We start from the raw sequence: 15,712 nt of genomic DNA, 5'->3' as shown, positions 1-15,712 counted from the left end.
GGCCACACGAGCCCCTGCCCACTGGGACCATATGGCTGAGTACCTGCCCCAGGCCCTCAGGCCTGATCCACAGTGGCGACATTTGTTTCTCCTGGGCCACTCTCGGAGGGGCTGGGTGCCTGGCAAACCCAGGGTCTCAGGGATGGTGACGTGCAGAGTCTTGGCATTCATGCGTTCCTGGAGACAGGGACATCACCGTGGCTTTGGATGCGCACTTTGTAAAGAGGCACCCTAGAGAGTTTGTAAAGCCGCCGAGGTTTAGCCAGGAAGGTTCAGGCTAAACAAAGCCTGGGAACACCACCCCAGCACTCACTGGGCTTTTGACTGAAAAACAGCCCATCCAATGTCTGGTATACAGTAGGTGCTTATTAAATACCTGTGGAAGGGTTGGTGCCCTGAGGAGAGGAGGCCCCTCTGTGGGTCTTAGCTCCTATGCGTCTGCAAGACTCCCGAGTGGGGTCCGTTTTCTTTGTGTGTGTGTGGGAGGGTGGTGTGGGGATGGTGTGGCCGTCCAGGAGTGTGGATGTGGCTTGAGCGACAGAGGAACCTGCAGCCCTGGCCACCTGGCGGCGTGGTGGGCTGCCCTCCTGCCCCCAGTGCTGCGATGGAGCTGGCAGGCGGGTGGCAGGTCTGTGTTGTCGCTGAGTGCCAGCTCTGAGTTTGCATTTGTCGTCCCGCCTTGTCACTCAGGACAGGTAGCAGGACTCGGCCTCCCCGATGACAGCCAGGGGTGTGCGGGCCGCAGGGACTGTTGTGTGCACGCGGGAAGCGCCGCTGCCTTCCTCTGCCGACGGGGTGCCGTGAGTTCTGTCCTCCCTTGTCCGCAAACCTCTTTGTGGTTGTTTTCATTTGAAATATTTTTCTTCCGCTATGACTCTGACTTGAAAATAACTCTTATCTTAGCACAGTGGAGGTGAAAGGATTGCTTTTCCTCTTTTTACATGGGAATAACTCACTGCCACTTAACTGGGACTTCCCTTCCAGTGGATTCCCAATGACAGAGTCACCGTGGGAAACCTTCATTGTATGTGGTCTGGCTAAAAGCAAAACAACCCCAAACCTTTTTTCACCAGCCTAAAACTAGAAAAGTTATTGAACTTTAAAGACGTGTTTGAGCATTTCCAATTCAAAGAGAAAATAAACTTGAATGGTTAGTTGCTCACAGCCAGTTTCATCCTTCAGTTTACTGCTTACACTTAAAAAATCAGTAACCTTCAGTTTGATCATAGAGGCACCGTTGACAGCCCTGTTGTCCCCTGAGCTGAGTGAGTCCCGGAGGGGCAGCACCCCCTCCTGCCCTGGGGACTCGGGTGACGTCCAGCTACGTTCCATAAGGGGCCACTGACAGAGTTTAGCATTAACACCAAAAACACAGAGGGATGTTGTCACTGGTGTGAACTGTTTGAAAGACATAAAATAGTCGGGCACGGTGGCTCACGCCTGTAATCCCAGCACTTTGGGAGGCCGAGGAGGGTGGATCACCTGAGGTCAGGAGTTCCAGACCAGCCTGGCCAACATGGTGAAATCCCGTCTCTACTAAAAATATAAAAAAATTAGCCAGGCATGGTGGTGGGCACCTGTAATCCCAGCTACTTGGGAGGCTGAGGCAGGAGAATTGCTTGAACCTGGGAGGTGGAGCTTGCAATGAGCTGAGATTGTGCCACTGCACTCCAGCCTGGGCAAGAGAGCGAGACTCCATCTCAAAGAAACAAAACAAAACAAAACAAAAAACCACGTTAATATCTGTTGGTTCCCAACAGTGACCTATAATGTTGGTTGAAAGATGTTTGGGGATCTGTTTAAATCATACTGAGTAGCGTCTCTCATGGTTTTAGAGAATATACTGACAGAGAATGTATCGTTCTTTTGTTTTGAGGGTTTAAGTGGCAGAAGTGTTTTCAGAGGTGTCAGATATATACAGACTGAGAGGTCAGCTCGCCCTGCGCCCCTTCCCTGCCGTGCTGTCCTTGCAAGACTTGGTGTCCATCTTTGTTTTTGTTGTTGTTGCTGTTGTTGTTGTTTGAGACAGGGACTTACTCTGTTGCCCAGGCTAGCGTGCAGTGGTGCAATCATGGCTCACTGCAGCCTCGATCTCCTGGGCCCAAGCGATCCTCCCACCTCAGCCCCTCTGCGTAGCTGAGAACACAGGCACATGCCAACACACTCGACTTATTTCTTTATTTTATTTTTTTTGGTAGAGATGAGGTCTCACTATGTTGCCCAGCATGGTCTTGAACTCCTGAGTTCAGGTGGTCCTCCTGCCTTGGCCTCCCAAAGTGCCGGGATTTCAGGTACGAGCCACTGCACCTGGCCTGAGTGTCCATCTTTGCGAAAGAGTCAGATTCTCGAATGCCTATGATAGGTTTGAACAAGACAAGCAAGGGTGGGAGGGATTGACCTTATTAGTCTTGAGACATACCTTAAAGCCATGGTGATTGAAACTATGTGGTTTTAGGGGCAGGAAGAGACAAATAAAGCAATGGAACAGAAGAGAGAGTGCAGATGCAGACCAAATACCCTGTGGGAATTGGGTGGGCTATAGCATGCATCATAAATCCTGGGGAAAGAATTTTGTAAATTATGTTGGGATAACTGGCTTCAGCTATATGGAAAAAAAAAAAAAAGGAAATTGGGTCCTTCCTCTAAATGCATCAGAGACCTACGTGTCAAAGGTAAAATTATATAGCCAAATGAAAGATTTCATAAAGAAGGCTTAAAAAGTGCAAAGTGGTTGGGCATTGTGGCTCACGCCTGTAATCCTAGCACTTTGGGAGGCTGAAGTGAGAGGATCAGTTGGGCCAGGAGTTGGAGCCCAGCCCGAGCAACATAATGAGACTCTGTCTCTACAGAAAAATATGAAAATTAGCTGTGTGTGGTGCCACAGGCCTGTAGTCCCAGCTACTCAGGGGGCTAAGGTGGGAGGATCACTTGAGCCCAGAAGGTCAAGGCTGCAGTGAGCTGTGATCATGCCACTGCACTCCAGCCTGGGCAACAGGGCAAGACCTCATCTGTTTTTGTTTGTTTGTTTGTCTTTTGAGATGGAGTCTTGCTCTGTCACTCAGGCTGGAGTGCAGTGGTACAATCTCAGCTCACTGCAACCTCCACTTCTCGGGTTCAGCCCATTCTCCTGCCTCAGCCTCCTGAATAGCTGGGATCACAGACAGCTGCCATGAGGCCCGGCTAATTTTTGTATTTTTAGTAAAGACAGGGTTTCACCATGTTAGTCAGGCTGGTCTCGAACTCCTGACCTCAAATGATCTGCCTGCCTTGGCCTCCCAAAGTGCTGGGATTACAGGCATAAGCCACTGTGCCCAGCCTGTTTTTTTGTTTTGTTTTGTTTTTAAAGTGCAATCTGTAAGGAAAAAAAGTAGATAGATTTGACTATATCAAAATTCAAAATTTTTCTTTGACCAAGGACACTGTATAGATAAAAGATAGGTGATATACTAGAAGAAAATGTTTGCAATATCTAAAACTGATGTGATGAATAACTAGAATAAAGTAATGCATGTCTAAAGATCAGCAAGAAAACGGCAAAACATCCACTAGAAAACGTGAAGCTGGCACAAGTTTGCAGCTGGAGGAAGGTGAAGCAAGCGTGGCTAACACACACGATAGGGGAGGCTAGCTTCACTGATGCCGTTGCCACCCACAGCTGGCTCTGGCTGCAGAGGAAGCTGGACAAAGATTTCGGCTTTGCACCCTCTAGTACAAGGCAAAGAAGTTGTGAGGGTTGCTGATAGCTAATCCAGAGGCTGCCACCCGTACACATATATGTTATTTAAAAAACAACAGTTCATGGCCGGGCAAGGTGGCTCACACCTGTAATCCCGGCACTTTGGGAGGCCGAGGCGGGCGGATCACGAGGTCAGGAGATTGAGACCATTCTGGCTAACACGGTGAAACCCCGTCTCTACTAAAAATATAGAAAATTAGCCAGGTGTGGTGGCGGGCGCCTGTAGTCCCAGCTACTCGGGAGGCTGAGGCAGGAGAATGGCATGAACCCGGGAGGCGGAGCTTGCAGTGAGCCGAGATCATGCCACTGCACTCCAGCCTGGGCGACACAGTGAGACTCCATCTCAGAAAAAAAAAACACAGTTCATTTCCCCATAATAAGAAACCAATGATGTTAAAGTCAAAGTTATGAAAGTTAGTTTACTCTGGCCTGCAGCCATGACCGAATGCCTAATGCAGGACAGCCGTCTCACCAATATGGGGAACAAGTAAGTGCAGAGAAAGGGCCAAGCTTCTCTCTGCTTTGTGTGGCCATGGGTTTCCAATCTGTTGGCAGATGCTCTGGTGGATGGATAGGATCATTTTCTTTTTTCATTGTCATTGTCCTTGGGAACCCACTCTAGTGTATTAATGAATACCATTCCAACTTACCTTTCATATATTTGGATTCATATGTATCCTTAATACATAAATAATATTTTGTATATGTTTAATTTACCTAAGTGGGATTGAGCTATAAAGCTCATTGTTCCTTTTGTAACTCACATTACATTATTTATTTATTTATTTATTTACTTATTTATTTTAAAAATAGAGACAGGGCCTCACTATGTTGCCAGACTGGTCTCAAACTCCTGGGCTCAAGTGATCCTCCCACCTCAGCCTCCCAAAGTGCTGGGATTACAGCCATGAGCCACCACACCTGGCCTCACATTATGTTTTTGACACCTACCCATGGTGCTCTAGTCAGCTCATTGCTTTTGACTGATTCATAGTTTTCCATTATATGCCTATACTACATATTCATTTCCTTAAGCACAGACACTCAAATTGGGTACAGCTTCTTCCTACTAAAATGGTGACACAATGAACCTGTTGAGGGCTTGTGCAGAGTTCTCGGAGGCATTCTTCCAGGAACGGAGCTGCTGGATTACAGAGCATATGTGCATGTCATTTCCTGGTGAGCATGGCTGGACAGCAGCTTCCTCAGAAGCCTCGTGTGCCTGTGTGCCCCTCAACACCTTTAGGCTCTGCTTTAGTCCATTTCTTGTTGCCACAGCAGAATACCTGTGGCTGGTAATGTATAAGGAAAAGAGGTTTATTTATCTCATGGTTCCACAGGCTGAGAAGTTCCAGGGCACGGCCCTGGCTTCTGGTGAGGGCTTCTGTGCTGCGTCATCACATGGCAGAAAAGGTCAAAGGGGAAGCAGACAGGTGCAAAGAGGGAAACCTGAGGGGTGCCCTGGCTTTATAGCAGCCTACTGTTCTTGGAAACCAATCCATTCTCGATCTGGTCTTGCCAGAACGAGAACTCATTTACTACGGTGAGCACAGTACCAGCCATTCATGAGGGATCTGTCCCCATGACCCAAACACCTCCTACTAGGCCTGCCTCCAGCACTTCCCCTTTGGGGATCAAATTCCAACATGAGTTTTAGTGGGGACAAACAAACCCCATCCAAACCATAGCACTGACTGTGCTGCTCTCCTCACCCCTCACTGACCCAGGATAAGTCTCCCCTGGAGACACTTTCAAATCAAAAGGCATTGCAGTGGAGTGGAGTGTTATAGGAATGCAGCCATAGAAACTCTGTAGCTGTCTTTTGTGAGCAGCTGTGAAATGGACAATTAAATGATTTCCCCAAGGTCACAACGTATAGATTTGAAATTGCCCCTCTATCTAATCAAAACTCAAGAAACAGGTTTTCTAGATATTGATTTGCCAGAGACTTGGATGAGAAATATTTTTTTTGTTCTCATTTATTCATAAGTAAAATTTGGCTACTCTGTGTTAGGTATTTGATTAGGCGCTGGATATGTTGCAATAGACAAAACAAATCCATTTCATGGATTTATAAATAAATGATTTCATGGAGTCAAGAGTCTAGCAGGCAATCAAAACAAAGATGTGGCTGGGTGCAGTGGTTCATGCCTGTAATCCAAGCACTTTGGGAGGGCAAGACAGGCCAGAAGTTCAAGGCTGCAGTGAGCTATGATCACACTACTGCACTCCAGCCTGGGTAACAGAGGAGACCTTATCTCTTAAAACACACATACATGCACACGCACATGCACACGCACACACACAGATATAATCACTCAAAAAACATATACAGTCATGCATCGTTAATGATGGTGATATGTTTTGAGAAATCCATGATTAGGCAATTTGTCATTGTTGGAACATCCTAGAGTGACTTACACAAACCTAGATGGTATAGTTTACTACACACCTAGGTTATATGGCATAGCCTATTGCTCCTAGGTTACATACCTCTACAGTATATTTCTGTATACTGAATGCTAAAGGTAATTAGAACATAACGGTAAATATTTGTGTGTCTAAACATATCTCAACACAGAAAAGGGGTTCACTCACCTCCCTTTCTGCCTCCGCTGCTGCCATGGCTCCTGTGAAAAACCTTGTGGTGAAGGGGGGCAAAAAAAATAAGCAGGTTCTGAAGTTCACTCTTGATTGCACCCACCCCGTAGAAGATGGAATCACAGATGCTGCCAATTTGAGCAGTTTTTGCAAGAAAGGATCAAAGTGAATGGAAAAGCTGGGAACCTTGGTGGAGGGGTGGTGACCATCGAAAGGAGCAAGAGCAAGATCACTGTGACATCCGAGGTCCCTTTCTCAAAAAGGTATTTGAAGTATCTCAACAAAAAATATTTGAAGAATATTGGCTGCGCATAGTTGCTAACAGCAAAGAGAGTTACGAATTACATTACTTCCAGATTAACCAGGACAAAGAAGAGGAGGAAGACAAGGATTAAATTCCATTTATCTGAAATATTTTGTATGAGTTCTTGAATAAAACTTGGGAACAACAACAAAAAAAAACCACACAGAAAAGAAACAGTAAAAATACAATATTGTATTCTTGCAGGGCCATCATTGTATATATGGTCTGTTGTCCAAAATGTCATAATGTACATGACTGCAACTACAAGTTGTTTTATGTGCTATGAAAAAGAAGCACATGTGCTCATTTGGAATGGGGGGTGAGGGAAATTCACTCTCAAGAGGTGAAATGTAAGCCAGTCTCAAAGATGACAACACACCAACCAGGTAGAGAGCAGTGGGCAGTCGGTGGGGCAGGAAGAGCATTCTGGTCAGACAGAACAGCATTGTGTGAAGATCCAGGGATGAGAGAGAATGAAGCAAAGGCAGGCACTGCAAGAAGGCCATTGCAGCTGGTGCAGAGGGGAAAGTTGCAGAAGGTGCGGCTAGACAGATAGTTGGGGAAAAGATCTACCTGGCTTGTTATGTATTTTGGATTTTACACTGTGTATAATGGGAGGTCATTGGAGGGATTAAAAGATGACTCTGGCTCCTAGGTAGAGAATACTTTGAAAAGGTCAGTAATAGGAGATTAATTTAGTTGTTGTAGAAGTTGAAATGAGAGTTGATGGTGGCTTGGACTAGAGTTATAAGGGAACAGGTAGAAAGCAGTAGAGGGATTTTAAGTATATTCTGGAGGTGAAATCAACAGAACTTGTAAATGAATTGGATGTTGAGGATGCAAAACAGGGAGGTGTCCAGAATGACTCCCAGGTTTCTTGTATCAAGAGTTGGGTAGAAAGAGATGTCATTTCCTAAAATGGAGACTACTGAGAGAGAAGCAAACTGTGGGAGGATGAGTTAGAGTTCTCTTTAAACTATGTTAAGTTAAAGGCATCCAAATATAGGTGGCAACCACAGGCAGTCAGATAATATGGATCTGGAGTTCAGAAGAGAGTCTGATTAAAATATGAATTAATCTGTAAGTAAGTGGTATTTAAAGCTGTGGAAATCAGCAGATTAACCAGGCAGTGAATGTACATGCAGTGAGGAGAAATGAGGGCTTAGAATGGAAACTGGAGGAACTCCCAACATTTAGAGGTCAAGTAAAGGAGGAGGAATCAGCAAATTTGACTGAGGACTGGCCAGACATGTGGAAGACAAAGAGTATGGTGTCGCAGAGGCCAAGATGAAGCTACCATAGGTCAAAGAAGATGGAAATCATTGGGGTCATGGGTTGGGCAACATGGAGGTCACCAAAGACCTTGCTGATAGCTGTTTTTGAGCATGTAAGCCAATGTTGAAATGGATTAAAAAGAAGGTATTTATATTTCTGGCAATATATGGGATTAATTATCCCAGAAAATCTTTCTATGTAAAGTGCCTGGAAATGTTGGATAAATATAAGAAATCATTTTTTTGAATGCATAGCTGAGTACCCAGGAAAATAAAGGAAGTCTCTAGGGCTGGAAGAAAAAGGGATACCTTGAAACCTCAGGATTGTAGCTGATTCTGAAACTAGAACCGCCCTAGAGGCATTGGCCAGTCTTGGAAACTGAGAAACTTAAGTTTAGCAGCTGTCCAAGAAGAGACAGAAAGCTCTTGGGACCTTAAAAGGTAGGGAGTTAGAATTGAGACCCCTCCAAATACAATTGGAATCCTCAAAGGGTGACACATTGAGTGAAAAAATGGAGTAAGAAGAATCTGCTACCTGGTGAAAGGAGATGGCAAAGGAAGTTCTCTCTCTTGACTTGGGTGGGAAAAACTAAAGACTGTTCCTTAAAAATGAAAACCACATGTCCTCTTACATGTATTTGGGGTTCAAAGTTGCACCATCTAGATGTTGTGGATAATCCCTGGATAAGAAATTACACTGACTGCAATTCTATAGTGTACAAGAACATCTACTGGAAACAAAGCAAATCCTCTTTGGAAGGACACAGCGTCTACACAGGCATTCCAAGCTTCACCAGAAATGAGCTCACAATCCAAAATTACAAGACCCAAGAGGTAATACCACTCTGAGTTCTTGGATAACAACAAACTATACAGTTTCTCAAGAGCATTCGGAATTAGAATAATTAGTTATAGAGTACTAAATAAGTATGTTTAACACGTTTAAAGAAATAAAAGGTAGGGGGAAAAACATGAAAGAACAGAATGCCATCTAAAAGGCAGAGAAGCTTGGAAAAGAACAAAATAGTGAAATATAAGTATTTAAGTGGATATTTCAATGATGCTTAAACAGCAGACTAAATACAACTGAAGAGAGGACTTGGAGGTAATCTGGCATCACCCAGAAAGACACACGGCTTAAGAGACATGGAGGACAGAGTGAGAAGGTTGACAACGTGTCTAGATGAAGAGAATCAGGAGACAAGTGGGAGAACATATTCCCAGGAAGTGCCCAAGAAGCTTCTGGAGATCATAAAAAGCATGACTTCTGATTCGGGAATCATAGTGTATCCTGGGTAAGATTATATTTTTTATTTTTTATTTTTATTTTTAATTTTATTTTTTTTTTTGAGACAGAGTTTCACTCTTGTTGCCCAGGCTGGAGTGCAATGGTGTGATCTTGGCTCACCGCAACCTCTGCCTCTCAGGTTCAAGCAATTCTCCTGCCTCAGCCTCCCGAGTAGCTGGGATTACAGGCATGCACCACCACGCCCGGCTAATTTTGTATTTTTAGTAGTGACGGGGTTTCTCCATGTTGAGGCTGGTCTCCAACTCCTGACCTCAGGTGATCTGCCCGCCTCGGCCTCCCATAGTGCTGGGATTACAGGCGTGAGCCACTGCGCCCAGCCTGGGTAAGATTATTAAAGAGAAATCTATGCCTGGACACACAGTGGTGGGATCACAGGGCACTAGGGACAGACACTTTTATAGCTGCCATAAGAAAAGACAGACGAGCAGTAGTTCACCTAGCTGCGGAATTCTCAACGGGAACCAGAGGACAGCAGTATCGCGCCCTTAAAGCATGGCCAGAACACAAATGTCGACCTCGAAATGCTGCCCCAGCTAAACCAATGTCCAGCAACGGCCCAAGAAACAAGACAGAAGCTGCTTTCCACCGCGGGTTCCCACCACGAAGGGGTCTTTGGACTTCCAAAGGGTGCACGCTAGGGTGAAGAGTGCTGAGGGTGCCCCCAAAAAGGATGCACATCTGCGATGTCAAGGGACTTGGAGAGCAAAGAATTAGATGGGTAAAGTTGGGCAAATATGTAAAATAGTGGCAATAAAGGGTTGAGTTTGGCCGGTCATCAACAACGTGAATCCTGCCCACCCCCATGTATAGCCCCCCGCGCAGCGGTAGGAGCCCCAGCCCAGAACGCTGTGGCTCCCGTGAGCCCTCGCGCTGGCGGCGGGTGCGCAGGCGCCCGCGCGTGTACGGTAGGTTCTGGAACGCAGCCGCTGAGGGGTCTGGCGCCATGTTGGGGCTGAGGGGAAGGAGGAGAAGCTCCTGAAGCGGCGGGCGCGCAGCGGGAGTGGGAGTGGGGTCGGACCAGGGCAGCTAGAAGCCCTGCCCTTCCGCCTCAGCGGATCATGACCCGGGCGGCGGCCGCGAAGGTCGCGGTGGTGGGGGACGTGCCCTGGCGGGGCGGGCGCTGAAAGATGATGCCGTTTCCGGTGACAACCCAGGGACCACCGCAGCCGGCGCCGCCGCCGAATCGCTACGGCGTCTCCTCGCCTATCAGTCTAGCGGTCCCCAAGGAGACGGACTGCCTCCTCACCCAGAGGCTAATAGAAACCCTCAGGCCCTTCGGGGTCTTCGAAGAGGAAGAGGAACTGCAGCGCAGGATTTTAGTTTTGGAAAAATTAAATAATCTGGTAAAGGAATGGATACGCGAAATCAGTGAAAGCAAGAGTCTTCCCCAGTCTGTAATTGAAAACGTTGGAGGAAAGATTTTTACGTTTGGCTCTTACAGATTAGGAGTACATACGAAAGGCGCAGATATTGACGCCTTGTGCGTTGCACCAAGTCATGTGGATCGAAGCGACTTTTTCACCTCATTCTATGCTAAACTGAAACTACAGGAGGAAGTGAAAGATTTAAGGGCTGTCGAGGAGGCATTTGTGCCAGTTATCAAACTGTGTTTTGATGGGATAGAGATTGATATTTTATTTGCAAGATTAGCACTACAGACTATTCCAGAAGATTTGGACTTAAGAGATGACAGTCTACTTAAAAATTTAGACATTAGATGCATAAGAAGCCTTAATGGTTGCCGGGTAACCGATGAAATTTTACATCTAGTGCCAAACATTGACAACTTCAGGCTGACTCTGAGAGCCATCAAACTGTGGGCCAAGTGCCACAATATCTATTCCAATATATTAGGTTTCCTCGGAGGTGTTTCCTGGGCCATGCTAGTAGCAAGAACTTGTCAGCTTTATCCAAATGCAGTAGCGTCAACTCTTGTACGGAAATTCTTCTTGGTATTTTCAGAATGGGAATGGCCAAACCCAGTGTTACTGAAGGAGCCTGAAGAACGGAATCTTAATTTGCCTGTATGGGACCCAAGAGTAAATCCCAGTGATAGGTACCATCTTATGCCTATCATCACACCAGCATACCCACAGCAGAACTCCACATACAACGTGTCTATTTCAACCAGGATGGTCATGATTGAGGAGTTTAAACAGGGGCTTGCTATCACACACGAGATTTTGCTAAGTAAGGCAGAGTGGTCCAAACTCTTTGAAGCTCCAAGCTTCTTTCAAAAGTACAAGCATTATATTGTACTTCTGGCAAGTGCATCAACAGAAAAACAACATTTAGAATGGGTGGGCTTGGTGGAATCAAAGATCCGAATCCTGGTTGGGAGCTTGGAGAAGAATGAATTTATTACACTGGCACATGTGAATCCACAGTCATTTCCAGCACCCAAAGAAAATCCTGATATGGAAGAATTTCGTACAATGTGGGTGATTGGGTTAGGGCTAAAAAAGCCAGATAATTCTGAAATTCTCAGCATTGATCTCACCTATGATATCCAGTCTTTCACAGATACTGTTTATAGGCAAGCAGTGAATAGTAAGATGTTTGAGATGGGTATGAAAATTACTGCAATGCATTTAAGAAGAAAGGAACTTCACCAGCTGCTGCCTCATCATGTGCTTCAGGACAAGAAAGCACACTCAACAGAAGGTAGAAGATTGACAGATTTGAACGACAGCAGCTTTGACTTGTCTGCAGGCTGTGAAAACAGCATGTCTGTGCCTTCATCTACTAGCACTATGAAGACAGGCCCATTGATTAGCAGTTCTCAGGGTAGAAACAGTCCTGCCTTGGCTGTAATGACAGCATCTGTGGCTAACATACAGGCTACTGAATTTTCCTTGCAACAGGTGAATACCAATGAAAGTTCAGGGGTTGCATTAAACGAAAGTATTCCTCACGCTGTCTCTCAGCCTGCCATTTCTCCATCACCAAAGGCCATGGTCGCCAGAGTTGTTTCTTCAACATGTCTCATAAGCCATCCAGACCTTCAGGAAACTCAGCAACAAACATATCTAATCCTATAGTTGGAGTCTAGAGGATATTCTTGCCTCATAAAGAAGAAAGGACCAAGAAAACCAAAACGGAAGAGGAGAAACTCAATACAAAGACAAGTACAACTCCATTAGAAAAATTCAGACAGCATCTTCTCTATTGGCCTCTCAGGGAACATCAGTATAGATCTTTCCGGTATCCCTGTTCTCCCTGCAAATCCAATTCCTGTTATCAAGAATTCAGTAAAACAGGTTGAATGGTTAAAAACAACCTCAAGGGTCCATGAACAATATCTGCCAACTGAACCTGTTGTCTTCAAATACTAAGGAAGGAGAATGAGGGGTACGGGACTAGATATGACTTGAAATAGATTGAGGCTCATTTGGTAACTTCCTTTACTGAGCCAGTCTTGATCAGAAGTCCACATTAGTATGTGACAGCTAGAGGTACTGTTATTAATGTATCAGCAACAGTTACATTAACTATTTCAAAGGACTACTGCCCTTAAAATGAAAAAACCTTTCAGCTATGTTTGTACCCGTGACTGACATCTGGACTGGATTTATGCTTGATGCATTGTTGGGAAAATATGCAATACAAACTGGTATCAGAATTCCTTATACTGATGAGGCACTTTATATTTTTTATTAGAAAGTAGAACTAATTTTAGATTTTTCAAATTGGTGAATTTTATTTTTCCCTGAAGAGGTTTCTTCACTATTAATCTTAAAATTGGATACCATTGTGCAGCGGTGTACTGTACTTCAGAGAAAGCATAAAAGTACATCTAGCTCAGTCCCTATGAGGTAGCTGTAACCCTTTAAAATGAAATGTCAACTTTAAGGTATGTTTTTGACATCAACCATTAGTAGGTCTTTGGTTTTGATGGCACACTATGGAGAAAGGACACACTGGTTTTAATCTGTAGAACTGTTTTAGAGTAATTAGCAATCAAACATTTTCTTTGAGCTATCAAAGCTCCATATTCTCTTGTCCTCAATCATTAGTCCTAAAACAAAAAAGCTTTTTGCCTCCCTCTCTTCTCTTTGCCTGTATGCACACAGTATGCTTATGTGTCATTTCACAAGAAAAAAGGAATAATATTCTCTAAACCATGATGTGAAACTGACAATCCTGTGGCCACATGGCACAAAACACCAAATATTGGTTATGATGAAACACCACATTTTAGCAAAACTTTACTAAATGTAATGTCTATGAGATATGTTTCTGATCTTGGATGACCATTTGATCACTGCATATGAGAAGTTTTGTTCATTCCACAGAATACCTCCTTATAGGAAAGTTAATTTCCAATTGCACACATAAGCAAAAAGGCATTTTCTTCAAGAATTTTAAACACTTTTATTTTTAAACGATTTATCAAAATTCATCTCTAAATTTTACATGTAGAAACATAAAAAAGTAATTTCTAGCAAGCACTTGACATCTTACTGGCTTTCTGCTCTTTTAGTCTACAAAAGATCAGCAATACTTTAAGTTAAAAAAAATCTCATAATTAAGCAGTAGAGCATCTATGATTAGGAAATGTGAGGGGCAACAGATGTGAATGAATGAAAGTTGAGTCTTTCTTAATCTAGACAGCAAACTTAACAGGCTTTCCAATTAGCCTTGCTTTAACCCCTCCCGTCCCTCCTCTAACTCTGCACTTTTCATGTTAAACTGCAATTACTTAAACTCTTTTCCTGTCCTGCATTAATTTTCCAAAGTTGGAATATAGTCATGTCCTTTTATGCTGTAGAGACTTTTCTTTCACCATTACTTTCTGATATCTAGTACACAGTATTTCTTTTTCTCACATCTTTGCCGTTTCACCACAATAATAAATCGGGTGAAGTGTGCACAATATCTGTATTTTGAATGGCTATGGCGTTAGGTTGAAATGGCCAGGCACAAATTTAGTCTGGTCATTTTGTTTACACATTGGGAAAAAAATTAGTTTATTAAACATTACCTGTAACTGTGTCTGTTTTACCAAGCTGGAACCTTGGGACTTTTTATTTCTAATTTTTATTACCTGAATGTCAGACCATTTTTTCATGTGATGTACCTAGTGAGTGGAGTTTGCTTTGTTTTATGGTATCTGTACTCCTGGTATATTCAAGCACTGTTTTGAAAACAGATGACTTATTTCTCCATTAAAAATGCAATAAAAATAAATGGCAAACAAGCAAAGTGAAACTAAAATACTGGACAATAGTACGATTTAAATCTAAGATATGAATTCAGATGTACTTACATTGTTCTGAAGGAGGGTAGAGTCACTGATGAACCTTTCGATCTTACTAAGTCTAGAACGTAGTAATGTTTAGGGAAACATGAAAAGGTTAAAATTTCAAGTAAGTAAAAGTAAAAAATGAAGTTAAGCTGAATCCAGAAGAAGGCAGGAAAGAAAGGGGGAAAGCATACAAAAAAATAGAGTAAAAAGAAAACACGATCTATGGTCATGGAAATGAAACCAAGTATAACTGTCACTACAATAAATGGACCAAACTTCCTGATTAAAAAAGGCAGAGATGGTCAGATTCCACGGGAAAACCAAGTCCAACTGTATGCTGTTTTACTTAAAAGAGACACAACCAAAATAAAAGAATGGAAAAAAGGCACGCTAATGAAAAGAAGCTGGGATAATAACAACATTATTCAAGTAGGTGTCAGAGCAAAAATAATTATTAAGGGCAAGAGCACCATGCATTAATGATAGAAGTCCTACAGCATCAGGAACATTTAATGATTTAAAACTTGTCTGCACCTAATAACTCAGCCTCAACATAAAATAACAAAGATGAACAGAAATTGTTAAATGTGTCATTATCATAGAAGATTTCAAAACAGCCTTTCATTAATTGATATCAAGCAGATAAAAATAGAAGGGAAACAGTTTTTGAACACAGTCCGGTGTAGTGGCTGGTGGACTTTTCGCATTAAGGACCAGATAGTAAATATTTTCAGCTTTGTGAAGCCATCCGGTCTCTGTCACAGCTACTTAACTCTGCCTTTGTAGAGGGCAATCAGTCATAGACAATATGTAAACAGATGGCCAGGGCCGGATTTCTCACCCATCCCTATCAGCCATTGTTTGCCATGAATGATCTGGTGAATGTTTATTATAGAACCTTCCACCCCACAATTGGAAAATGCATGTTATTCTCAAATAAGCATTGGGCATGTACAAAAATTAACCTCTTGCTATATCAAAAGTAATATTTAACATACTTCAAAGTATCTGATTTATAGGACATGTTCTCTCACCACAGAACAGTAAGTTAGAAATTAAGTAACAGCATAAAGAAGACACAAAAAAGCTCAAGTCATGAAAGAAGAGATTGGTACAATTAAGAGATTTTGTTCATCAGATAATGAACCGTGAAAAGTAAAAAACTGAAAAACAGGCCCTAAGCTGGGAGAAGATTTTGTGATAAGATAAAACTGACAAATGATTACTATCCAGAATATAT

General features: G+C 43.4%; 2 protein-coding genes and 1 pseudogene across 2 annotated transcripts in view, besides 1 other annotated feature; all 3 read left to right on the top strand.

Annotated features, from left to right (window-relative positions):
• Positions 1 to 15,712, top strand: part of RADIL (Rap associating with DIL domain) — an 86,662-nt gene that overhangs the window by 11,555 nt on the left and 59,395 nt on the right. The window lies entirely within an intron of this gene.
• Positions 6,338 to 6,794, top strand: RPL22P16 (ribosomal protein L22 pseudogene 16; annotated as a pseudogene).
• Positions 10,132 to 14,424, top strand: PAPOLB (poly(A) polymerase beta). The gene has a single exon (NM_020144.5). The coding sequence runs from the start codon at positions 10,352 to 10,354 to the stop codon at positions 12,263 to 12,265; it is 1,914 nt and encodes a 637-aa protein (NP_064529.4). The 5' UTR covers positions 10,132 to 10,351; the 3' UTR covers positions 12,266 to 14,424.
• Positions 10,277 to 10,889: an enhancer, noted in NCBI's record as "H3K27ac-H3K4me1 hESC enhancer chr7:4900904-4901516 (GRCh37/hg19 assembly coordinates)". NCBI's record gives its function as "activates a minimal SCP1, AML or CMV promoter by ChIP-STARR-seq in naive H9 embryonic stem cells {active_cell/tissue: H9 hESC(naive)}" and the evidence as "EXISTENCE:reporter gene assay evidence [ECO:0000049][PMID:30033119]".

This window comes from Homo sapiens, chromosome 7 (assembly GCF_000001405.40).
Source record: "Homo sapiens chromosome 7, GRCh38.p14 Primary Assembly".
Lineage (NCBI taxonomy): Eukaryota > Metazoa > Chordata > Mammalia > Primates > Hominidae > Homo > Homo sapiens.
Note: the sequence above shows the minus strand (reverse complement) of the source record. Positions and strands in the feature narration are given on the sequence as shown.